This window comes from Homo sapiens, chromosome 3 (assembly GCF_000001405.40).
Source record: "Homo sapiens chromosome 3, GRCh38.p14 Primary Assembly".
Classification (NCBI taxonomy): Eukaryota; Metazoa; Chordata; class Mammalia; order Primates; family Hominidae; genus Homo; species Homo sapiens.
In genome coordinates this window covers 98,817,932-98,843,364 of record NC_000003.12, presented here as the reverse complement: position 1 = coordinate 98,843,364, position 25,433 = coordinate 98,817,932, and the positions used below count along the sequence as shown (strand labels likewise).

The following is a 25,433-nucleotide window of genomic DNA, read 5'->3' as shown; positions in this document are numbered from 1 at the left end:
TTATATTGGGTTCCAAATTTTGGTTCCTGTATCTGGCAAACATTTTAAAACTCTGATACTATTAAACTTAGTAAGATTTTATTAATGAAGTTTCAGTTTACATTCCTATCTTTAGATATGCTTTTATTTCCATACAAATGAGTATGTATAATGTTTGTATGTATAATATAATTAACACGCAGAAGAATATTTGTAGTTTGGTGTCAGTTTGTAGAACAAAGGTGCTGACGAACAAAGTGTTACCAATTTTGCAGAGAAAGAGAATTTAAACACTTAATCTGTTAAGATGGTGTTAACCTGAAGAGGCAATTCACATTACAGGATAGAGTTTATTCCAAGCTGTTAGATAAACCTGAAGAGCATCTTAATGATTTTAATGTTTTCTATGTTTTTAATTTTTTTGGCATATTAGGAGTGCTGAGAAGAGACTACATACGTGTTTGTGCTGTCCTGTGCTGTACAGTGGCTCTATCCTTCACTGTTGATAAATACTAATGTATTTATTAGCTTCCTAGATACTGTGTAGGTCACAAAATAATTATGCTATATTTTAATGTTTTGTATTCATTTTTTAGTGTATGGAGATTTAGATAAGGAGTTTGATTTGATCCAGTTAACCATGTGTAGCTTATAGCGTGTTTGACTACATAGTTTATTGCTTAGGCAACTGAGCTATGCTTTATATCATCCATAGGAAAGCATTAATTATTTTCATCTGAGAAAATTTTTTCTGGGCTTCTACTGTGGACTCTGCTTTCATAGATGACATTGTTATATTCTTAAGAGAAACATAAGGTTTAGTGTCCACTCTCAGTATGTAAAAGGAGAGAAGAGGTAAAATACCTAGTATAGTGTCTGGTACTTAGTAAATGTTAATTGGCTCTGAATCACTATAAATTATGTTGTACTATACTATATATGTAAATTTCTCTTAACAGAATTGCAGATGCTAAAAAATCAATGCCAGATTCCTATAATAGGAGCAAGGAATTAGTCTTAGGACCACACAATAATATTGTCAGGAGAATTTAGCAGAAGACCAGGCTTATCCTACATCCTTTAGCACTTGAACAGAGTAGCTGTTCATATATCTACGATGCAAGGCTATTGACAAGATGAGAACTATGAAAGCAAGACCACATATTGTTTAAGGCTCTGGGAAATTGGTTATTTAAATAATTTTAGATCACATAAGAGAGAAGAATGAATAGGTGTACATTTTCTTGTTTCGGCCTATATTTTCTTATTTCTAGTAAATAATACAGTAACTTTGGAACAGTACTTCTGTGCTTTCTTTTTTGAGATGGAGTCTTGCTCTGGCACCCGGGCTGTAGTACAGTGGCACGATCTCAGCTCACTGCAGCCTCCGCCTCTCGGGTTCAAGCGATTCTCCTGCCTCAGCCTCCCAAGTAGCTGGGACTACAGGCACACGCCACCATGCCCGGCTAATTTTTTGTATTTTTTTTGGTAGAGACGGGGTTTCACTGTGTTAGCCAGGATGGTCTCGATCTCCTGACCTCGTGATCTGCCTGCCTCGGCCTCCCAAAGTGCTGGGATTACAGGCATGAGCCACCGTGCCTGGCCACTTTCTTGAGTTAGAATAAATATAGGCACTTGAGTTCAACTGTGCAAAAATGTTTACAGCAAATATAGTTGTCATTATACCAACTTATTGTGGTAAGTGATGGCTACTGACACTACTGAGGGTCTTTTTCAATTCATTCAAGAACACAAAACAGTATTGAAGGAAAATCTAAATAAATATATTTTGCAACCCTACAATCTCAGAAATAGCCAACACTGTCAATCAAAAATATTTCTATGATAGTAACCAATGTGCTGATATTTTTTGATTCATTTGTTAACATAAAATATATTTTCATGGTATTATATATGGGTCAACATAAGATTTCAAGTTTAAATATTTCATGCAACAGTTACAAAGTTCTCTAGCCTTTGCAGTTATTATGTCTTGAAAATGTTTTTAATTGTACTTTATTTTTTTTAAATGTATATATCAGTTATGGCAGATAATATAGCTAACTAAGTTTGCAACTGTCTTAGGAAATCTGATGTTGGTGTTTTCAGAAAACCTGACGTTCCTCAGGCTGTTATTGATTATTGGCTTGCCTTCACATTTGTATTCTCTCCTGCTCTTTCTCACAATCACATTATCCTGCCTTCAGAGCCCCATCTGAGATCTGCCTGCTCTGGACAGCCCTCTAGGATTAGGGAAGGCAGGTAATGGGGAAGGATAGAAACTCTTTTTATAGATACTATGGTTACACTTCCTTTGGGTTAAACTCTACTGTGAAGACTAGTGTATATTCAACACTGAAGATGCTCTTTTGGGGGCTATACAGAAAAAGAGGGAATGCCAGTTTGCTTCAGCAGAATCCCTGAGGGCATTCTGTTTACTACTGCCATCGCTGTTATCTACAACACCCAAATGAAGTGTACCATATGTGTGATACTTCGTGCAGTAATGTGTTACAGTCATTTGTATGTATTGTTTGATTAAAATTACCAGAATAAAATTCTATGCAGAGGCTGTCAGTTTAAAACGTAGCAAATAACAGGCATGGGGGCTCACATATGTCTTCTCAACAGTTTGGGAGGTTGACGTGGGAGGATTGCTTGAGGCTGGGAGTTCCAGACCAGAAAGGTAGTGAGACCCCCATCTTTACCAACAATTTAAAAAATTAGTTGGGTGTGGTGGCACATGCCTGTAGTTTTAGCTACTTGGGAGGCTGAGGTGGAGGATTGCTTGAGACCAGGAACTTGAGGCTGCAGTGAGCTAGGATCATGCCACTGCACTCTAGCCTCGGTGACAGAGCAAGGAAAAAGAAATGTAAATTATATACTGCCCCGTACTTTGAACATATCACTGATTTTTCTAGTATTATAGGACATATTAAAGTGGATCCAGCAAGATAAGTGTTTTCTCAGTATTTATTATAATCTAAGCACTTCACATGTAATAAGTTCATCTTTTAAGTTGCTCAGTCCAGAAATTTTAGTGTATCTTTGACTCCTCTCTTTTTCTCAAGCTTCATATTCAGCTGCCAATTCTTCGAATATATATGTACATGTACCAGAATCTGACTACATCTTAACAGCTCTACTACTACCACTCTATTTCAGGTTCCAACTTTTACCTCAATTACGGCAATAAATTTCTTACCTTTGTTTTTGCTGTTTTCCCCCTTCAATCTACTCTGAATTCAGTGGTCAGTATGATCTTATTAAAGTGAAAGTTTCATCTCACTCTACCAACTATCCTTATCTCCAAGATGCTCTAGCATTCAGCTTCCCATTACTCATCTGACTTCATCTTTTACTTGTCTACTGTGGCCTCAAACATGCTGAGCACATTTCCTAACAGGGCCTTTGATTCCCGCTGCCTGTTCTCAGATTCAAATACCTAACACCTCACTCCCTCACCGATTTTAAGAGTTTTACTTAAATGTCATCTTCACAGTGATGCCTGATCTGACCACTGTACTTAAAATTGTAACTCCCTAACTTTTTAAAACTTCCTTGTTCTCATTATTTTTCTAAAGTACAATACACATTCTAACACAGTATTTTTTTCTTACTAACATTGTCTTTTACCTCCCCCACCCCACCCAGAGGTATACTCCCTATACGAAGGAATTTTTATCTGGTTGTTCTTTGTTTTATCTCTGGTGCCTAGAATGACATCTGGTCATAACACATGCTTATTAAATATATGCTGAATGAATAAATGAACGAACTGCCAGCCCTGGCTCTTTTACTAGGCTTTATTTCACCCATCAATACAGATATGCTACATATGAAAGGACACTGTTATTCTATGATAGTTTCTTTTTATTTTATAACAGTCTTATTAAGTTATAATTCACACACCATACAATTCCCTTATTTAAAATATACAATTCAGGGGGGTTGGCCAAGGTGACCAACTAAAAACAGCTAGTGTGTGCCGCCTTCATGGAAAGAAATAGAAGGGGCAAGTAAATACAGCACTTCAACTGGAACACCCAGGTACACAAACGGATTCATCAAGAAAACAACTCGACTGCATTCCAGCCTGGGCAACAGAGCAAGACTCTGAGAAAGAAAGAGGAAGAAAGAAAGAATGAGAGAGAGAGAGAAGGAAAGAAGGAAAGAAAGAAGGAAGGAAGGAAGGAAGGAAGGAAGAAAGAAAGGAAAGAAAGAAAGAAAGAAAGAAAGAAGGAAGGAAGGAAGGAAAGAAAGAAAAAGAAAGAAAGAAAGAAGGGAGCACAGGGTTGGGGGTAAGGTCACAGATCAACAGGATCCCAAGGCTCCCTCTCCCTCTCCCTCTCCCTCTCCCGACGGTCTCCCTCTCATGCGGAGCCGAAGCTGGACTGTACTGCTGCCATCTCGGCTCACTGCAACCTCCCTGCCTGATACTCCTGCCTCAGTCTGCCGAATGCCTGCGATTGCAGGCACGCGCCGCCACGCCTGACTGGTTTTGGTGGAGACGGGGTTTCGCTGTGTTGGCCGGGCCGGTCTCCAGCCCCTAACCGCGAGTGATCCGCCAACCTCAGCCTCCCGAGGTGCCGGGATTGCAGACGGAGTCTCGTTCACTCAGTGCTCAATGGTGCCCAGGCTGGAGTGCAGTGGCGTGATCTTGGCTCGCTACAACCTACACCTCCCAGCCGCCTGCCTTGGCCTCCCAAAGTGCCGAGATTGCAGCCTCTGCCCAGCCGCCACCCCGTCTGGGAAGTGAAGAGTGTCTCTGCCTGGCCGCCCATCGTCTGGGATGTGAGGAGCCCCTCTGCCTGGCTGCCCAGTCTGGAAAGTGAGGAGCGTCTCCGCCCGGCCGCCATCCCATCTAGGAAGTGAGGAGCGCCTCTTCCCAGCTGCCATCACATCTAGGAAGTGAGGAGCGTCTCTGCCCGGCCGCCCATCGTCTGAGATGTGGGGAGCGCCTCTGCCCCGCCGCCCCATCTGGGATGTGAGGAGCGCCTCTGCCCGGCCGAGACCCCGTCTGGGAGGTGAGGAGCGTCTCTGCCCGGCCGCCCCGTCTGAGAAGTGAGGAGACCCTCTGCCTGGCAACCGCCCCGTCTGAGAAGTGAGGAGCCCCTCCGCCCGGCAGCTGCCCCGTCTGAGAAGTGAGGAGCCTCTCCGCCCGGCAGCCACCCCATCTGGGAAGTGAGGAGCGTCTCCGCCCGGCAGCCACCCCGTCCGGGAGGGAGGTGGGGGGGGTCAGCCCCCCGCCCGACCAGCCGCCCCATCCGGGAGGGAGGTGGGGGGTTCAGCCCCCGGCCTGGCCAGCCGTGCCGTCCGGGAGGGAGGTGGGGGGGTCAGCCCCCCGCCCGGCCAGCCGCCCCGTCCGGGAGGTGAGGGGCGCCTCTGCCCGGCCGCCCCTACTGGGAAGTGAGGAGCCCCTCAGCCCGGCCAGCCACCCCATCCGGGAGGGAGATGGGGGGGTCAGCACCCCCACCCGGCCAGCCGCCCCATCCGGGAGGGAGGTGGGGGGGTCAGCCCCCCGCATGGCCAGCCGCCCCGTCCGGGAGGGAGGTGGGGGGGTCAGCCCTCCGCCCGGCCAGCCGCCCCGTCTGGGAGGTGAGGGGCGCCTCTGCCCGGCCGCCCCTACTGGGAAGTGAGGAGCCCCTCTGCCCGGCCAGCCGCCCCGTCCGGGAGGGAGGTGGGGGGGTCAGCCCCCCGCCCGGCCAGCCGCCCCGTCCGGGAGGGAGGTGGGGGGGTCAGCCCTCCGCCCGGCCAGCCGCCCCGTCTGGGAGGTGAGGGGCGCCTCTGCCCGGCCGCCCCTACTGGGAAGTGAGGAGCCCCTCTGCCCGGCCAGCTGCCCCATCCGGGAGGGAGGTGGGGGGGTCGGCCCCCCGCCCGGCCAGCCGCCCCGTCCGGGAGGGAGGTGGGGGGGTCAGCCCCCCGCCCGGCCAGCCGCCCCGTCCGGGAGGTGGGGGTGTCAGCCCCCCTGCCCGGCCAGCCACCCCGTCCGGGAGGTGAGGGGCGCCTCTGCCCGGCCGCCCCTACTGGGAAGTGAGGAGCCCCTCTGCCCGGCCAGCCGCCCCGTCCGGGAGGGAGGTGGGGGTGTCGGCCCCCCGCCCGGCCAGCCGCCCCGTCCGGGAGGGAGGTGGGGGGGTCGGCCCCCTGCCCGGCCAGCCACCCCGTCCGGGAGGGAGGTGGGGGTGTCGGCCCCCCGCCCGGCCAGCCGCCCCGTCCGGGAGGGAGGTGGGGGGGTCGGCCCCCTGCCCGGCCAGCCACCCCGTCTGGGAGGGAGGTGGGGGTGTCGGCCCCCCGCCCGGCCAGCCGCCCCGTCCGGGAGGGAGATGGGGGGGGTCAGCCCCCCCGCCCGGCCAGCCGCCCCGTCCGGGAGGTGAGGGGCGCCTCTGCCCGGCCGCCCCTACTGGGAAGTGAGGAGCCCCTCTGCCCGGCCAGCCGCCCCGTCCGGGAGGGAGGTGGGGGGGTCAGCCCCCCGCCCGGCCAGCCGCCCCCTCCGGGAGGGAGGTGGGGGTGTCGGCCCCCCGCCCGGCCAGCCGCCCCGTCCGGGAGGGAGGTGGGGGGGTCGGCCCCCTGCCCGGCCAGCCACCCCGTCCGGGAGGGAGGTGGGGGTGTCGGCCCCCCGCCCGGCCAGCCACCCCGTCCGGGAGGGAGATGGGGGGGTCAGCCCCCCCGCCCGGCCAGCCGCCCCGTCCGGGAGGTGATGGGCGCCTCTGCCCGGCCGCCCCTACTGGGAAGTGAGGAGCCCCTCTGCCCGGCCAGCCGCCCCGTCTGGGAGGTGTGCCCAACAGCTCATTGAGAACGGGCCAGGATGACAATGGCGGCTTTGTGGAATAGAAAGGCGGGAAAGGTGGGGAAAAGATTGAGAAATCGGATGGTTGCGGTGTCTGTGTAGAAAGAAGTAGACATGAGAGACTTTTCATTTTGTTCTGGATCTCAAATTTCATAACGCATGGGCCCTTTTCACCAAAAAATAATTTCCATGGGTTCCAATTGAGTAGCATTAACTGTGGAACTAACGTTCCATGTTATACAAATTTCATCCACAGACTTCCACCTCTGGCAATTACTAACTGGTACCAGATCTACCCTCCTCTGCCACTGTAAACAATCAGAAAACTGAGCAAAATATTGGAGGCAACCATTTTCAGGCAAGGGACAACAGGCAGTGCAGAACCAGAGCACCTGCCGGCAGGGAAGCAGCTGGTAAATATGTGGATACATACAAAACAGCAGCTTTTCTTTTGTCCTCTTAATTTCCTTAAGATGCAAGTGGCTATTTAAAATAATAATATTGCAAGGTGAGGTTTACATACACACACACATACACACACACACAGGAGGACTGATTTATTACTATAAAATGGTGAAATCTATACATAAGTTCAAAAGAATTTAGATTCTCCTCAATGTGAATAAACAAAAATTTAAAAATCTTAAAAAAAAAAAAAAAGAAAGAAAGGAAGGAAGAAAGAAAGAAAGAAAGAAAAATTCATCTCCTCCCCTCATATAAGCACCAAATAATTATAGTAGCATATGGAGTGGCCAGGCGTGGTGGCTCACGCTATAATCCCAGCAGTTTGGGAGGCCAAGGTAGGTGAATCACCTGAGGTCAGGAGCTTGAGACCAGCCTGGCCAACATGGTGAAACCCTGTCTCTACTAAAAATACAAAAATTAGCCAGGCATGGTGGCACGTGCCTGTAGTCCCAGCTACTCGGGAGGCTAAGACGAGAGAATCGCTTGAATCCGGGAGGCAGAAGTTGCAGTGAGCCGAGATTGCACCATTGCACTCAAGGCTGGGCAACAAAAAAGAAACTCTGTCTCAAAAAAAAAAAAAGAAGAAAAAAAAATAGCATACGGAGTGAGAGGATGGATAAGTGAACCTGGCACATATTTGGTGCTCAATAGATGTTTACTGAGTGAAGAATAATTAAATGGCAAGAAAATAGTTATCTTAGAAGAACAAATGAGAAGGGAATCATTTCTGGCTGGGGACACCCAGGAGTTGACATTTGAATTTGACCTTGAACAGTGGGTAGGATGCTTTTGGTGATGAGAAACCCATTCTAGGTAAGGGAGGAATGCCAGGAAAGAGTAGGGACTTAAGAATGTGCGAGTATGCCGGGCGCGGTGGCTCCTGCCTGTAATCCCAGCACTTTGGGAAGTTGAGGCGGACAGATCATCTGAGTTCAGGAGTTCGAGACCAGCCTGACCAACATGGTGAAACCCCATCTCTCCTAAAAATACAAAATTACCCAGGTGTGGTGGCACATGCCTGTAATCCCAGCTACCTGGGAGGCTGAGGCAGGAGAATCGCCTGAACCTGGGAGGCAGAGGTTGCAGTGAGCCAAGATAGGGCCATTGCACTCTAGCCTGGATGACAGAGCAAAACTCTGTCTCAAAAAAATAAAAAAAAAAAAGAATGTGCAAGTTTATAGCAGAAGGGCTGGTGGCCTATTGGGATGGAAAATTTAAAGACAAGCAGTAGGAATCAGTTGGGATTATGACAGGCAGCTTTGGGTTTGAAAAAGGAAGTTCCAGATGTCAAAGCAGTTCAGACTGAGGGGAGGCTTTTAACTTTTTAGGATAACATCTATAAGTTTCAATATATGGAAAAGATATCTGCACTCCCATCTTTATCGCAGCACTATTCACAATAGCTAAAATATAGAATCAATCTAAGTATCCATCAATGGATGAGTGAATAAAGAAAAGGTGATGTATACACAATGGAATATTATTCAGCAATGAAAAAGAATGAGATCCTGTCATTTGCAGCAACAGGCATGGAACTGGAAGTCACTGTGTTGTGAAATAAGCCAAGCATGGATAAGCAAATATCACATGTTCTCACTCATATTTGGGAGCTAAAAACGTAAATCTCATGAAGTTAGAGAATAGACTGGTGGTTACTGGAGGCTGAAAGGGGAGGAGGTGGGGGGATGAAGAGAGGTTGATTAATGGGTACAAATATACAGTTTGATAGAAGAAATAAGACCTGGTGTTTGATAGATCAGTAAGGTGACTATGGTTTACAATAATCTGTTGTATATTTTGAAATAGCTAGAAGGGAATAAAGCAAATGTTTTAGCATAAAGAAAAGTATTCAAGGTGATGAATATCCCAATTACACTGATTTGATCTTTGTGAATTCTATGAATGTATTAAGTTATCATATGTACTCCCCAAAATAGGTACATCTATTATGTATCAATAAAAAAATTTAAAACAAAAAAAAAAAAAAAAAAGAAAACAACTCTACTCACAGAGAATGGAAAAAAGCAAAGCAGGACAACCACCCACTCAGGAACGACACAGGGCCAGAGGAGCCTCCCCCACCCAGGGAAGTGGTGCTGGAAAATCCGAGGTGACTGGGGACCAGAGCAGGCCCCTAGTTTACTGGAGTAGTCATGGAAAAGTGGCCAGACTGTTTCTTACATGGGTCTCCACTCCCATATCTCCTCACTGGGCAAGTCCTCCAGGCTTGGGTTTCCAGCCTCCCTTCACTGGGACTTTGGAGCCAGTAGCAGCTCTGCAGCAACCTGGGACAGAGCTCCCACTGGGAGGGTGGTGTTTCCATCTTTTCTGCCTTGCAGCCCTCACCTTTGCTGTTTCCAGGCTCTGGAGAGTCCATGGGACTGAAGCCTGGTCTGAACCCCAAGCACAGTACCCATCTCACCAAAAAGTGGTCAGACGGTTCTCCATGTAGATCCTGGTCCTCACTTCTCCTCACTGGACAGGGCTGCCTGACCTGGGACTCCAGCACAACCACTGTACCCCCACCTGACCACTTCAATTAGAGGCAGCCCAGCAGTTAAAGGAACACCCACACAGAGAGATGAGAAAGAACTAACACAAGAACTTCAGCAATTCAAATGGCCAGAGTGTCTTATGTCCTCCTAACGATTGCACTAGTTCACCAATGAGGGTTCTTAACCAGGCTGAGTTGGCTGAAATGACAGAAATAGAATTCAGAATATGCACAGGAATGAAGAGCATCGAGATTCAGGAGAATGGCAAAACCCAATTCAAGGAAACTAAGAATTAACAATAAAACAATACAGGAGCTGGCAGATAAAATAGCCAGTGCAAAAAAGAATCTAACTGACCTGATAGAGCTGAAAAACACACTACAAGAATTTCACAACCCAATTGCAAGTATTAACAGCAGAATAGACCACGCTGAGGAAAGAATCTTGGAACTTGAAGACTGGCTCTCTGAAATAAGAGAGTCAGACAAAAGTAAAGAAAAAAAGAATGAAAAGGAATGAATAAAACCTCTAAGAAATAAGGGATTATATAAAGAAGCCAAATCTGCAAATCACTGATATCCCTGAATTGGATGGGGAGAAAGCAAACAACTTGGAAAACATATTTCAGGATATCATCTATGAAAATTTCCCCAGCCTCGCTAGAGAGGCCAACAGTCAAAATTCAGGAAATACAGAGAACCCCTGCAAGATTCTACACAAGATCTCCCCAAGACACATAATCATCAGATTTTCCAATGTCTAAATAAAAGAATGTTAAAGGCAGCTAGAGAGAAAGGGCAGATCACCAACAAAGGGAACCCCATCAGGCTAGCAACAGACCTCTCAGCTGAAACCCTGCAAACTGGAAGAGATTGGGGACCTATATTTGACATTCTTAAAGGAAAAAAATCTTCAAGAATTTCATAACCAGCCAAACTAAGCTTCCTTAGCAAAGGAGAAATAAGATTCTTGTCAGATAAGCAAATGCTAAGCGAGTTCATTACCACCAGACCCACCTTTCAAGACATCTTGAAGCTAGCACTAAATATGGAAAAGAAAAACCATTAAAACACCACTAGGAAAATACACTCAAGTACACACACCAGTGACACTATAAAGGAACCACACAAACAAGCCAGCATAATAATCAGCTAACAACACAATGACAGGATCATATGCACACATATCAATACTACCCTTGAATGTAAATAGCCTAAATGCCCTATTTAAAAAGGCATAGAGTGGCATGCTGAATAAAAAAGCAAGACCCAATGATACGCCGTCTTCAGGAACCCATCTCACATGCAATGACATCCATAGGCTCAAAATAAAGGGATGGAGGAAAATCTAACAAGCAAATGGAAATCAGAAAAATGCAGGCATTGCAACCCTAATTTCAGACAAAACAGACTTTAAACGAACAAAGCTCAAAAAAGACAAGGGCATTACATAATGTAAAGCATTCAGTTCAACAAGAATACCTAACTATTCTAAATATATATGCACTCAACACAGGAGCACCCAGATTCATAAAGCAAGTTCTTAGAAACCTAAAAAGAGACTTAGGCTCCCACACAATAATAGTGGGAGACTTTAACACTCCACTGACAGTATTAGACAGATCATCTAAGCAGAAAATTAACAAAGATATTCAGGACCTAAACTCAACACTGGACCAAATGTATCTAATAGACCTCTACAGAACTGTCCATCCAAAGACAATAGAAAATACATTCTTCTGATTGCCACATGACACATACTCTAAAAATGACCACATAATCGGACATAAAGCAATCAGCAGATGCAAAAGAACCAAAACCATACCAGACACACTCTCAGACCACAGTGCAATAAAAATAGAAATCAAAACTAAAAAAAATGGCTCAAAACCATGCAATTACATGGAAATGCTCCAGAATAACTTTGGAGTAAATAATGAAATTAAGGCAAAAATCAAGAAGTTCTTTGAAACTAAATGAGAACAAAGATACAACATTCCAGAATCTCCGGGATGCAGCTAAGGCATTGTTACAAGAGAAATTTATAGCACTAAATGCCCACATCAAAAAGTTAGATCTCAAATTAACCTAACATCACAACTAAAAGAACTAGAAAAGTAAGAGCAAACCAACCTTAAAGCTAGCAGAATATGTATAATCAAAATCAGAGCTCAACCTGAAGGACAGTGAGACGCAGAAAAACATTCAAAAGGTCAACAAATCAAGGAGTTGGTTTTTTGAAAAAAATTAATGATAGGCCACTAGCTAGATTAATAAAGAAGAGAGAAGGGCCAAGAGCGGTAGCTCATGCCTGAAATCCCAGCACTTTGGAGGCCAAGGTGGGTGGATCACTTGAGGTCAGGAGTTGGTAATGAGCCTGGCTGACATGATGAAACCTCGTCTCTACTAAAAATACCAAAAAAAAAAAAAAAATTAGCTCAGCATGGTGGCATGTGCCTGTAATCCCAGCTACCCGGGAGGCGGAGGTTGCAGTGAGCCAAGATCACACCACTGCACTGCACTCCAGCCTGGGCAACAGAGCAAGACTCCATCTCAAAAAAAAAAAAAAATTACTAGCATTTCTGTACACCAAAAACAGTCAAGCCAAGAGCCTAATCAAGAACACAATCCCATTCACAATTGCCACAAAAAGAATAAAATACCTAGGAATGCAGCTAACTGGGGAGGTGAATGATCTCTACAACAGGAATTACAAAACACAGCTCAAAGAAATCAGAGATGACACAAACAAGTGGAAAAACATGCCATGCTCATGAATTGGAGGAGTCATTATCATAAAAATGGCCATTCTGTCCAAAGTGATTTACAGATTCAATGAAATTGTTATCAAACTTCCAATGACATTCTTCACAGAACTAGAAAAAACTACTTTAGAATTCATATGGAAACAAAAAGGAGCCCAAATAGCCAAGGCAATCTTAAACAAAAAGAAAAAAGCTGCAGGAGTCATATTACCTGACTTCAAACTGTACTGCAGGGCTACAGTAACCAAAACAGCATGGTACTGGTACAGAAATAGGTGCGTAGACCAATAGAACAGAGTAGAGAGCACAGAAATAAGGCCACATATCTGCAACCACCTGATCTTCGACAAAGCTAACAAAAATAAACAATGTAGAAAGGACTGCCTATTTAATAAATGGTGCTGGGATAACTGGCTAGCCATATGCAGAAGATTGAAGCTGGACCCCTTCCTTATATCATATCCAAAAATCAACTCAAGATAGATTAAACACTTAAATGTAAATCTCAAAACTATAAAAACCCTGGAAGACAATGTAGGCAATAGCATTCTGTCATAGGAACTGTCAAAGATTTCATGATGAAGACACCAAAAACAATCACAGCAAAAGCAAACATTGACAAATAGGATCTAATTAAAATTAAGAGCTTCTGTACAGCAAAAGAAACTATCAACAGAGTAAACAGACAACCTACAGAATGGGGAGAAAATATTTGCAAAGTGTGGATCTGGCAAAGGTCTGATATCCAACATCAATAAGGAACTTAAACAAGTTTACAAGAAAAAAGAAACATTAAAAAGCAGGTAAAGAACATGAGCAGACACTTTTCCAAAGAAGACACATATGTGGCCAATAAGCATAAGAAAAAAAGCTCAATATCATCGATCTTTAGAGAAATACAAATCAAAACCATAATGAGATACCATCTCATACCAGTCAGAATGGCTATTATTAAAAAGTAAAAAAATAACATGCTAATGAGGTTATGGAGAAAAGGGAACACTTAAACGCTGTTGGTGGGAGTGTAAGTTCAACCATTGTGGAAACCAGTGGTGATTGCTCAGAGTGCTAAAAGCAGGGCCACCATTTGACCTAGTAACCCCATTACTGGGTATATACCCAGAGGAATATAAATTGCACTCATATTGTTCATTGCAGCAGTATTTACAATAGCAAAGACATGGAGTCAACCTAAATGTCCATTAATGGTAGACTGGATAAAGAAAATGTGGTACATATACACTATGGAATACTATGCAGTCATAAAAAAGAATGAGATTATGCCCTTTGCAGGGACATGGATGGAACTGGAGGCCATTAACCTCACAGGAAGAGAAAACCAAATACCACATGTTCTTACTTTTAAGTGGCAGTTAAATGTAGCACATGGACACATAAAGGGGAACAATTGACACTGAGGCCTACTGGAGGGTGGGAGGAGGGAGAGGAACAGAAACAATAACTGTGGGATGCTAACTAGGCTTAGTACCTAGATGACAAAAGATACAGCAAACCCCCATGACACAAGTTTACCTATATAACAATCCTGCGCATATACCCTTGAACCTAAAATAAAGTTAAAAGGAAAACTACCTGTTGGGTACTATGTTCACTCTCTTGGTGGTGGGGTCTGTACCCCAAACCTCAGCACCATGCAGTATACCTATGTAACAAACCTACACATGTACCCCGTATCTAAAATAAAAGTTGAAATTAAATAATAAAATATCTGTATATACAATTCATTGATTTTTCAGTGTATTTAGAGTTGTACAGTTATCACCATAGTCAATTTTAGAACATATTTATCACCCCAAAGGAAATTCCTTAGTTAGTAGCAGTTATTCCCCATTTCTCTCCTCTTAACCCCCTACAATCCTAGGAAACCACGAATCTACTTTTTATTGCTATAGATTTGCCTATTCGAAACATTTCATATAAATGTATCACATAGTATGTGGTCTTTTGTGACTAGCTTCTTTCACTTAGCATATTTTCAAAGTTTATCAATGTTGTAGCATGAATCAGTACTTCATTTCTTTTTATGGCCAAATAATATTCCATTGTATGTATATACACCCCATTTTGTTTATCTATCCATTCATCAGTTGATGAACTTTTGTGTACAAATGTTGGTGGGGACATAGGTTTTTAATTCTCTTGGGCATATACCTAGGAGTGAGATTTCTGGGTCATATGCTAACTCTTTGTTTAATATTTTAAGGAACTGCCAAACCATTTTCCAAAACAGTTGCACCATTTTACAATTTTACTAGTACTGCATAAAGACTCCAGTTTCTCCACATTTTTGCCAGTGCTTGTTATGTCTTTTTTATTTTCGCCATCCTAGTGAGTGTATGGTGGTGTCTCACTGTGATTTTAATTTGCATTTCCCTGATGGCTAATGATGCTGAGCATCTTTTTATGTGCCTGTTGGCCATTTGTATATCTTCTTTGGAGAAATGTCTGTTCATATCCATTGTCTGTTTTTAAATTGGTTCCTTTGTCTTTTTAATGCCACATAATAATATTCTTTATTCTGGATATTAGATACATCTGTTTTCATTGATATATCATTTGTGAATGTTTTCTCCCATTCTGTGTGCCATCTTTCTCTTTCTTAATGGTGTCCTGTGAAGTACAAAAGTTTTTAATCTTGATGAACTTCCATTTATTTTTATTTGTTTTCTTGTGCTTTTGGTGTTTTATCTAAGAAATCACTGCTTAATCCAGAGTTGTGATATTCTCATATATTTTTTTCTAAAAGTTTTATAGTTTCAGCTCTTGAGTTTAGATCCACTTTATTTTGTATGTAGTTTGAGGTACGGGTCCAATTCATTTGTTTGTTTGGTGGATATCCAGTTGTCTCAGCATCATTTGTCTAAAAGATAATTCTTCCCCCCATTGAATTGTCTAGGCACCCTTGCTGAAACTCAGTTGACTATAAATTTGAGGGTTTATTTCTAGATTTTCAATTCTGTTCCTTTGATTATGATGACTTATACATTGCTATCAGAAATCTCTGGGGCAGATGGATTTTTCTGGAGCTAGGCTGTGTTCTTATTAGCTGGGAGCATTGTAGTAATGACAATTTTCTGGAAGGCTGTTTACTTGGGAAAAGCTTTTAAGAAAGACATTTTAAAGCTTCTTAATTGCCTGCTTTATTTGATGTTGTTTTCTTTGTAGAGTTGTAAAGGTCAAAGTGTGTACTTAAGGCTTTCTTTATCTTCAGTCTTCTTGGCTCTCCTTGTAGCTGTCCATTTTGAATTCTTATTTTTCTCCTTGAGAGCTCTTTGAACTTCCATGGAATTTGAGAGCAACTTTAGTGAGTTGCACATTTGCATGGCATAGTTTTGGAGTCTCAGCACTGCATGCACTTACAACCAAAGCCCTGTTCTGATCAAATAATCCATAGTTGACCAGATTTCTGGCATGTGGCTGGAAGATAATGGGGCCAGCTGGCAGTCTTCTTGTGGTTTAAGTGCCATATTGGACCACACAGTACCTTTCATCCCAGGCTATTAATCTTAGAAATTCAACTTCTAATCTTAGAAGTCGGAAATTTTTTTGGTGGAGCAGAAAGTGGAAAATTGATTCTTGTTGATGCTGGGCAAAGATTGACAGGAATAACTAGAGAACTGGTAATTCAATTTGCCTGCTCTTCTGGTTGGTCAACTGGGTGGTAGTGAGCCCCTATTTAGGCATCTATCCTATTAAATTCCTAAAGCACAGATTTAGCTTAACTGTCATTCAAATGCCTGTGGTTTATAACTATTAATTTATACACTTGCCTTGAAAATACCCCTTTCTTACTGGTACAACACAGTTATTAAGCTCTAGTTCAAGACACATTTTAGTTGAATAGTAAACACAAAATTTCTTCAGAATTATGGAATAAAATGATCGATTATCATATGCTTGCTGTGGTAACCATTAATTTAACAAATATTTATATACTGTTCAGTGTGCTAGGAGCTATCTCCATCAAGGGTATATTGGCTACCCTTGACACAGTTCTTTAATCAAGCGTTTATATGTAAAATCACTTACTTTTGTGATTGCCTTGGGGTCTTCTTCCAGGTTTTCTTCCCTGCAGGTTAGTAAATAACTGGACTTAGCCAAACATGCTAATGATCAGAAACTTTTATTCATCCATTGATTCAATAAATAAGTCTCCTGTATACCATATGCTGTTATTGCTACTGGAAATACAAAGGTGAGGACAAACAGCCTCAGGCTCTGTCCGGGGACTAGGCTTTATAGAGTGATTTTGCTTATAACTCTATAATTACACCAACAAGTCAGGCTTACATATTAACATAACACATTACGTTTGACAACACAGAATAGTCATCTGTTTATTAAAACAAACAAAACTTAAGTGCCTACTGTGTGCTAAAGGAATTTGACTTGTGAAGCTGAGGGACAGCTTCTGTGAGGAAGTGGCAGTGAAGCTGAGCTCTTAGAGAGGAATCAGCTAAGCTAAGTAGTAGTGGGAAAGCCTTACAAGTCGAGAGAGCAGCTTGTGCCAGGGGACCAAAACAAGACTGGAGCGGCGAGAAGCCAAGGCAGGTACACACAAGACTGCAGAGTAAGACAAGGCCAGCACTTCAAGACTCTGTAGGCTGTGTTGAAGGCTTTGCTGTCTAACCTAAGAGAAGGAAGCCACTGAAATGGTGTGTTTTGTTTTGTTTTTTTTGCTTTTTTTTTAACCAAAGCCACTTTTTACATAGCCTATGAACTTGGTCTTAATTAGAGGCAGATTAGTTCTTGCTCAGCTGTATTGGTTTCTAGGCAGAAAATGTTAAATTTTAGAAGTTTTATTTCTTTAGAGCAATGCTACTGCAGCTTCCGTGTGCTTAAGAAATTACTGAGAGGACTTGTTAAAACAGATTTTTGGGCACCACCGCCAGAGATTCTGTAAGTCTGGATGGAGTTCAAGAATTTGAATTTCTACTAAATTTCCAGAAGGTGCTGATGCACCAGTCCTGTCTCTGGACCAGATTTTAATTAGCAGTTATTAATAGTTAGAGCCATAAAATTAACTCTCTTTGTCATTATTTTCCTTATGTGCAAACAGCAAAGGGTCATTTTTAGTTATATAATAACCAAGAAATATTTCTGTGTGTGGGTAGCTGTATTTTACAGAAACCACTTTAAAGCTATAAATTTTACTTATCTATGCATGTTCTAAATATATATATATATATATATATATATATATATATATAAATACACATATACATATATGTGTGTATATGGTATGTGACTTCCTGAGGTGATGTAGTAAACAGTATTGAGGGGACATTGCTCCAAAAATCAAGAAACTTAATATCAGAAAGAAATTGTGATTAACAAAAGTTGGCAAAGTTTTTAGTACCACTTTGACAGTGCCATTGAGATTTTTGAAAATTAGAGTAGTACAGTTTGGGATTCTGAGACACTTGGAGTTTCAGCAAGGTAATCCTGTATATTAATGGAATCAGTTTTTTATTTTTGTTTTTCTAGATCTAATTACTTGTTTGGACACTGCATCCAATTTTTTGGAACCTGAGTTCAGGTATGATTATATTTGTGACTTTTTTTTTTTTTTTTGCTTAAATGTTACTTTTCATTCACTTCTTCATTTTCATTCTGTATACTCTTAGGGTTAATGTATATTGTGTGATACATATCATTGTTCCGAGACTTCAATAAATTAGAGCTTACTTAAAGCATAAAGCCATTTAGTTGCATGTTTACATTTTGCTTTTATTGTAGCATTTAGATCTGCAAAATGAAAGTATCATTTTAATATGCTTTGAAAGTAGAACTAGTTGCTTTTCAAAATCTAGCAAAACTCCTAGTAAAAGTTGAAAAGGTATTTATCTTTTTTCAAAAAATTGAAAGAGCATGGTTTTGGCTGTTATAGAATTCTGCAGTGTTGTTACTCAAGTACCATTTCTACTATTTCTCTTCTTTATGCCTTTGTCTCTTGCCTAGACAACTTCTAATCGAGTTCCTATTTCTGTTTGCTGGCTGCCATTCACACTGCTGCCAAGTTGTTTCCAAAATACATATCTGATCATTTCCCTGCATAAAAATCTTGAGAAACTACTTATTATGATAAAAAACAGTTGTCCAGATTTCCTTAACCTGGTCTTCTCGTTCTTTCACAAGCAGTCCTCAGGCCATTTTTCCAGTCTCATCTTATGTTCTCCATATTGAAATGACTCTTGAGTTATTTACAGTGCTCTGAGCTCACAGAGCTTTTACCAGGAACCACTTGCCTCCTCTGCTTGGCAGATCATTCTCATCTTTCAAGAGCCATCTTACTAACTTTTCCGAACTTACTACCACTTCCCCCCAAGAACCTTAATTTTGTCTTCAAGAATGGTTCTGTGTGGGAAGGGTGCCCTCTTCAGCATTTGAGGGGGACGTTAGCTGGGGTAACCCTAGCATCAGTGTATGGTAGACAGCCCTGGCAGAGGGTCAGCTGCGCTCGCGCCACTCTCCAGCTCCATGATCTGCCACAACAAATCCAAGCTCCCATTATCCCTGTCCGGGGCTGCTGTACTATTGCCTAATGGTGTCCCAGCCTCCACTCATGATTCCTTGCTATCTCTTTTCTTCCCAGGAGCCAGAATAATCTTTTTTAAAAATACTAATCAGATTATGTATGTAAGCTGCCAAAATCCTTTACTGGCTTCCTATTTTTACTTAGAAATATATTCCATACTCTTCACCATAGCCCACAAGGCTCCTGCATTACCTGCCCGTCTGTCCAGTCTTCTCTCTAACTAACCTTAGTTTTGCTCTCTGGCACCTACTTGCACTGCCGTCCCCACTTCCGGACACACACTAGGCCATCCTGCCTCATGCTGTGCTCATCCCTCTGACTAATGTGCATTTCCCACCACTTGTTCTAGTGACACCCCTTAGCTCACTGCTGAGGCTTCACTTCCTAAGAGCCCCATCCTGCCACCCCCATTCCCTGACTGGGGGCGGTACAGAGTCCTGCATAAGAGCATGGACTCCAGACCCCATTTGCTACCTGCTAACTGTGTGAATGGGCATACAGTTCCTTAATTTCCCTGTTTCCTAAAATGAGGACAACACTAGCATCTCCTCCATAGAGTTCTTATATGGATTACCTAAAGCACTTAGGGTGCTACCTGGCAATTCATTAAGTTTACTGAATTATTGTGTTACTTGTATTAAGTTAGATTTCTTGCGGTTATTTCAGCATGACTTCATAGCAGAATCAAAATCAATTATTTGTGTAAGTATTGGTTTAATGTCTTCTACCACTGGAATATAAACTCAGTGAGGACAGGGGCAATATTTGTCTGTTTGACTTTTGTAAACCCAGTACCTAGTACTGCCCTACACTCAACAGACAGCATAATAGACACTCAAATAAATGTGTTGGGTGGATGGGTAGCAGCGTGAATGAATGCACCTCTTTTAATACAGCTTAAATTGGATCAATAGAGGGTTGGTAAAATGTATTATGGCATATCCACAGAATAGAATATCATTTAGCTCTTAAATTTGATGAGTAGGTTTTATAGTAGAAACATGTCTACCATTCATTATGAAATAAAATAATCAAGGCAGTATGTAATAAGACAAAAAAATGTTTCAAATGTGTGAGTAAAGACATATTATATATATATGGATGGAAGAAAGTCTGAAAGGGCTTTTTAGAACTGGTGGTCCTGGCCGGGCACAGTCATTCACACCTGAAATCCCAGCAGTTTGGGAGGCCGAGGTGGGCGGATCACCTGAGGTCAGGAGTTTGAGACCAGCCTGGCCAACATGGTGAAACCCCATCTCTACTAAAAATACAAAAATTAGCCAGGTGTGGTGGTATGCACCTGTAATCCCAGCTACTCGGGAGGCTGAGCCAGGAAAATCTCTGAGACCCAGGAGACAGATGTTGCAGTGAGCCAAGAAGGTGCCATTGCACTCCAGCCTGGGCGACAAGAGTGAAACTCCGTGTCAAAAAAAAGAAGTGGTGGGTCTTTGAGGGTAGTGAAATTATGGTATTCACCTTGAACTGAAAAATGTGTCTGTGATATTTTTGGGGGGTTGCTTTTTTCCCTGTAAAATACAGCATTATGTAACCTTTTGCTTGTTTTCATTTCTCAGTAAGTACTGCCCAGCTGGTTGTCTGCTTCCTTTTGCTGAGATATCTGGAACAATTCCTCATGGATATAGAGATGTAAGCCAGATATAAACTTATTTGAAAATTGTGATATAACTCTATTTTTTTAGAACTCCAGAGTAGTTAGAGGTGTGTTAATCATATATCCTTATCTTTTGCCTTTTTAAGACATTTTTTAATCATATGTGTTTTATTCTTTTTCTTCTGCTAAAACTGTTGTGTTACAGTACCAATAATCTATTTTTGTTTATGAAGTTTATGAAGAAACTGCCTAGATTAACTGATTTCTCAGGAAGTAGAGTGTCTTGTTTATGAATTATTAAGAGAAAATTAAAAATGAATCTTTTCTTTTCCCTTCCTTAAGTCCTCGCCATTGTGCATGGCTGGTGTGCATGCAGGAGTAGTGTCAAACACGTTGGGCGGCCAAATCAGTGTTGTAATTAGTAAAGGTATCCCCTATTATGAAAGTTCTTTGGCTAACAACGTCACATCTGTGGTGTAAGTATATATGCAATTTAAAAAATATATGCTATATATAATTAGCATTCTGGGTAGCACTGGGCTAAGAACTAGCTAGATCTCAGCAGTATCACTGTTAATGGTGTTCATGAAAGAACATTTAGGCAGTAAGCACTCACATTAGTGTGCTCAGTGTCTGTTTTTTTGTTTTGTTTTGTTTGAGACAGAGTTTCGCTCTCATTGCCCAGGCTGGAGTGCAGTGGCGTGATCTCGGCTCACTGCAACCTCTGTATTCTGGTTTCAAGCGATTCTCCGGTCTCAGCCTCCCAAGTAGCTGGGATTACAGGTGTGTGGCACCACGCCTGGCTAACTTTTGTATTTTTAGTAGAGGCGGGGTTTCACCATGTTGGCCAGGCTGCTCTCGAACTCCTGACCTCGTGATCCACCCGCCTCGGCCACCGAAAGTGCTGGGATTACAGGCGTGACCCACCGTGCCCAGCCAGTGTCTGCATATTTTGAAGAGTACAGGTGGTGTTGTACTACTTTAGCTTATTGTTCTTCAAAAATGTAGTCATTTGGAAGAGTAATGTGTTTCTTCTGTCTTTTCTAAGTGTTAAAAAAAAGTCTACATAAGAGTCTAGAAGTTTGTTGCCAAATCCTTATTTATTTTACAGATTGAAAGGCTTAACTACTGTGTTCCTTATAGCACATGGGGATTCAAGATAATTGAAATACTTTAAATATAAATTTAAGTTTGACATAAAGTGTTACATCATAAGCATTATTGTGAATCTTCCTTTCATTCTAAGAGAATATTTTGAAGATGTATTTTCATGGTAACTATAGTGTTCTACTGTTTTATAAAACGTAGGGTAGGCATCAAAAGCAAGAGAAATTGAAACATTAAATAGAAATGCAGTGTTAGCAATCTGTTTTTATAAATCTTGTCTCTTAGATCTGCTCAGTCTTTCAGACAACACTAAGCCTAATTGAAACCAGCTTTTCTTCAGAGGTCCTAGGCCAATTTTCATTCAGAAGACACAAGCATCATCCATATCCAGATTGGTATACAACAGGATTCAGCAGATTTGTTCTGTAAAGATCCAGCTAATAAATATTTTAGGCTTTACAGGCCACATGTCGCTGCAGCTTATTCTTTTTTTGTTTTATTTATAGCTCTTTATTCTTAACTCACGGCCCATACAAAACAGGCCATGCATGGGCAGTCATTTGCCCATCCCTGGTATAGATTCAACTACCTTCCCTTCTTTTTTTTTTTTTTTTTCTAGATTATTTTATGCAGACCCTTTCATTCCTTTACCATGTTATACCTTTAGAAAGATTTAGTGTTTGTGAATTCTCTCTTTCATACTTTAAAAAAGAAAACAGGGATAAATTGCATCCTCTTGTAATGGTTTGTATGTTGGACTAAAGGCAGGAGTGTACACTGAAACTTCTTCCATGAGATGTTGATTTCTCCTAAAAAAAAAAAAAAAAAGAAAAAGAAATCTATTAGTACCCAACTTTTCTCATGTTTATCCGAAAAAACTTGAGCCTCATTCTCTGAGAATTAGACCTTTTAGTGTATTTTCATCGAAAGCATTTGCCACAGAAAAGTGTTAAGAATCCATTTATTTCATGAAATAAAGTAGTGAGAGATTGACAGTAAACAATGAGTAAATACATATGAAAAAGAAGTACATATTAAAGATTACATAGAGAACTTTTGCACAATCACATATGAAACTGGGTGCTAGATACTTGTAGAGAAAGCTGTTTATGCTGATTTCAGAAGTTGTCCTGCTTAGAAATGAGACTTTTTTCCTAGGAACAATATTAGTTGTCTAATTTTTAGCCACACAGTCTTCTTGGTTCTTTTATTGGGTGGGGGGAACCAAATCAAAAGAAAATGTTTCACTAAATATGGGGCATCATGTGTTATGTGAGTATCACCAAAAAAAACCCTTCTCTCTTTCAGGGGACACTTATCTACAAGTCTTTTTACATTTAAGACAAGTGGTAAGCCTTTTATGGACTTTATAATTTTTTATTTATATAATATTTTTTGAACACTGTTAGGCACTGTGTCAGTTGCTGATTTATTGTACTTTCTCACGTAGTTGTCTTAATAACACTATGAGGTAAGATAGTTATCTAATAATATAATGAATAGAGCAAATTGAAAGTTTTATATTTATAGAGAAATGGTCATGTAAGCAAGGAAGGTTCCTTAAGAAAGATGACTTTTGAACTTGTCTGAAGAAGTAATCAATTCGTTCAACAGAAAATACTTACTGAGTGCCTTCTCTTTATGTGCCAGGCATTGCTCTGGTTCGAGTGATAGAGTAAAGTGAACAAACTCCTGCCTTCCTGGAGCTTACATTCTAGTAGTGAGAGATTGATGATAAGCAATGAATAAATTTCTGTTTATAATGTACTGTTTACAATATGATAAAAGATGTAGGAAAATAAGGAGGACTGGATTGAAGTTGGGAAGGGCCTTCCTCCCAGGGAAGACCTCAGGGAGAATGCAACATAGGCCAAAAACCTGAAGGAGGTAAAGGAGTGAGTTACTCAGTTATTTGGGAAGAGTGTCCCAGGGAGAAGATAATGTATCTCCATTAAACTAACAGTCATGCTTATAAATGAGCATGTTTGTAGGTTTCCTAATGATACACAAAGACATATGCCCAAGAAACACTTGCCTAGTTTTGAAATTTCTCTGTTACAGTGTATTATTAGTGTAGTGTATGTTAATTAAAGATGGAATAGAAAGTTTTCAGTGAGCAGGTCTACATGCATTTTGAAATTATACCTGGAAACCAAATTTAGTCTTTTCTTTGTTTCAGGATGTTATGGAACACTGGGGATGGAGTCTGGTGTGATCGCGGATCCTCAAATAACAGCATCATCTGTGCTGGAGTGGACTGACCACACAGGGCAAGAGAACAGTTGGAAACCCAAAAAAGCCAGGCTGAAAAAACCTGGACCGCCTTGGGCTGCTTTTGCCACTGATGAATACCAGTGGTTACAAATAGATTTGAATAAGGAAAAGAAAATAACAGGTTAAGAGACAAAAATTTTCTAAAGCAATTTGTAACACTTATTTTATTTGAAAAACTAGTAACATCTAAGATTTTCAGAGAAAATTAAGGCATTAAAATTGTAATTATATGGTTTTATATTTTCTTCACTGATGTTAATATTACTAGAGACACATTTTATGAAACATGGCAGAGAAAAGGAGTTATTTGTGTTGGTCAGGGTTCTCTAAAAGGACACAACTGATAGGACAGATGTATATATAAAGGGGAGTTTATTAAGGTGTATCGACTCACATGATCACAAAGTGAAGTCCCACAGTAGGCCATCTGCAAGCTGAGGAGCAAGGAAGCCATTCCGAGTCCCAAAACCTCAAAAGTAGGGAAGCCAACAGTGCAGCTTTTAGTCTATGGTCAAAGGTCCAGAAGTCCCAAAGCTAAGAACTTGGAGTCTGATGTTCAAGGGCAGGAAGCATCCAGCATGGGAGAAAGATGTAGGCTGGGAGACTTAAGCCAGTTTAGTCTTTTCACATTTTCTTCTGCCTGTTTTTATTCTGGCCGTGCTGATGCAGATTAAATGGTGCCGACCCAGATTGAGGGTGGGTCTGCGTGTCCTAGTCCACTGACTCAAATGTTAATCTCCTCTAGCAACACCCTCACAGACACACCTGGGAACAATACTTTTCATCCTTCAATCAAGTTGACACTCAGTATTAACCATCACAGTATTTAATTCGTAATAGCTTTTTGTTTCCATTGTAATGAGACTCTTTTTTTAAGGTAGTGTTTCAGTAAAGTGGTCTTGAGACATCTAAAATAACGGTCTCCTACAGTCATTAAGAGAAATTTATGTTAAAGGAGTCCATTTTAAATGATGAGATCATTAATTTTCCACATGTGGAGAGTATAAATTTAATTTAGGGGAACTTAGCAAATGGTCGGAATAATTGGTTGGGATTGGTTTAATTTTGTTAAAATATTTATTTTGTTTTGGTACTGTAAATAATACCAATAATCATCTTTAATCTGTTCATTCCCAGGAAGTCATCTTACCCAGTAGTCAAAATCTATTTTACGACGTTATAAACACAAGACACCAAAACAGAATAGTTCTTTACTTAATTAATGCCCACCCATAATCCTTCCTCTCTCTCCAAGGGAATAAGGCCAAGGATTTAGTAATTGTTATGACAAAAACGTGCACTTGGATATGGAAATGAGCCATAATTAGAAATGTTCGAGCTGTGCATTTCAAGTGTTTATACTTTGATGCTGAACAAACTTAGGGAATCAG

At 41.6% G+C, this 25,433-nt stretch overlaps 1 protein-coding gene across 3 annotated transcripts in view; it reads left to right on the top strand.

The window, feature by feature from the left end:
• Positions 1–25,433, top strand: part of DCBLD2 (discoidin, CUB and LCCL domain containing 2) — a 105,755-nt gene that overhangs the window by 58,331 nt on the left and 21,991 nt on the right. For all 3 annotated transcript variants that reach the window (XM_011512419.3, NM_080927.4, XM_024453348.2), the window contains 5 exons: positions 17,999–18,050; positions 20,624–20,696; positions 21,004–21,137; positions 23,077–23,117; positions 23,948–24,163. In XM_011512419.3, coding sequence (XP_011510721.1) covers positions 17,999–18,050; positions 20,624–20,696; positions 21,004–21,137; positions 23,077–23,117; positions 23,948–24,163 — 516 coding nt within the window. The remainder of the gene's footprint in view (positions 1–17,998; positions 18,051–20,623; positions 20,697–21,003; positions 21,138–23,076; positions 23,118–23,947; positions 24,164–25,433) is intronic.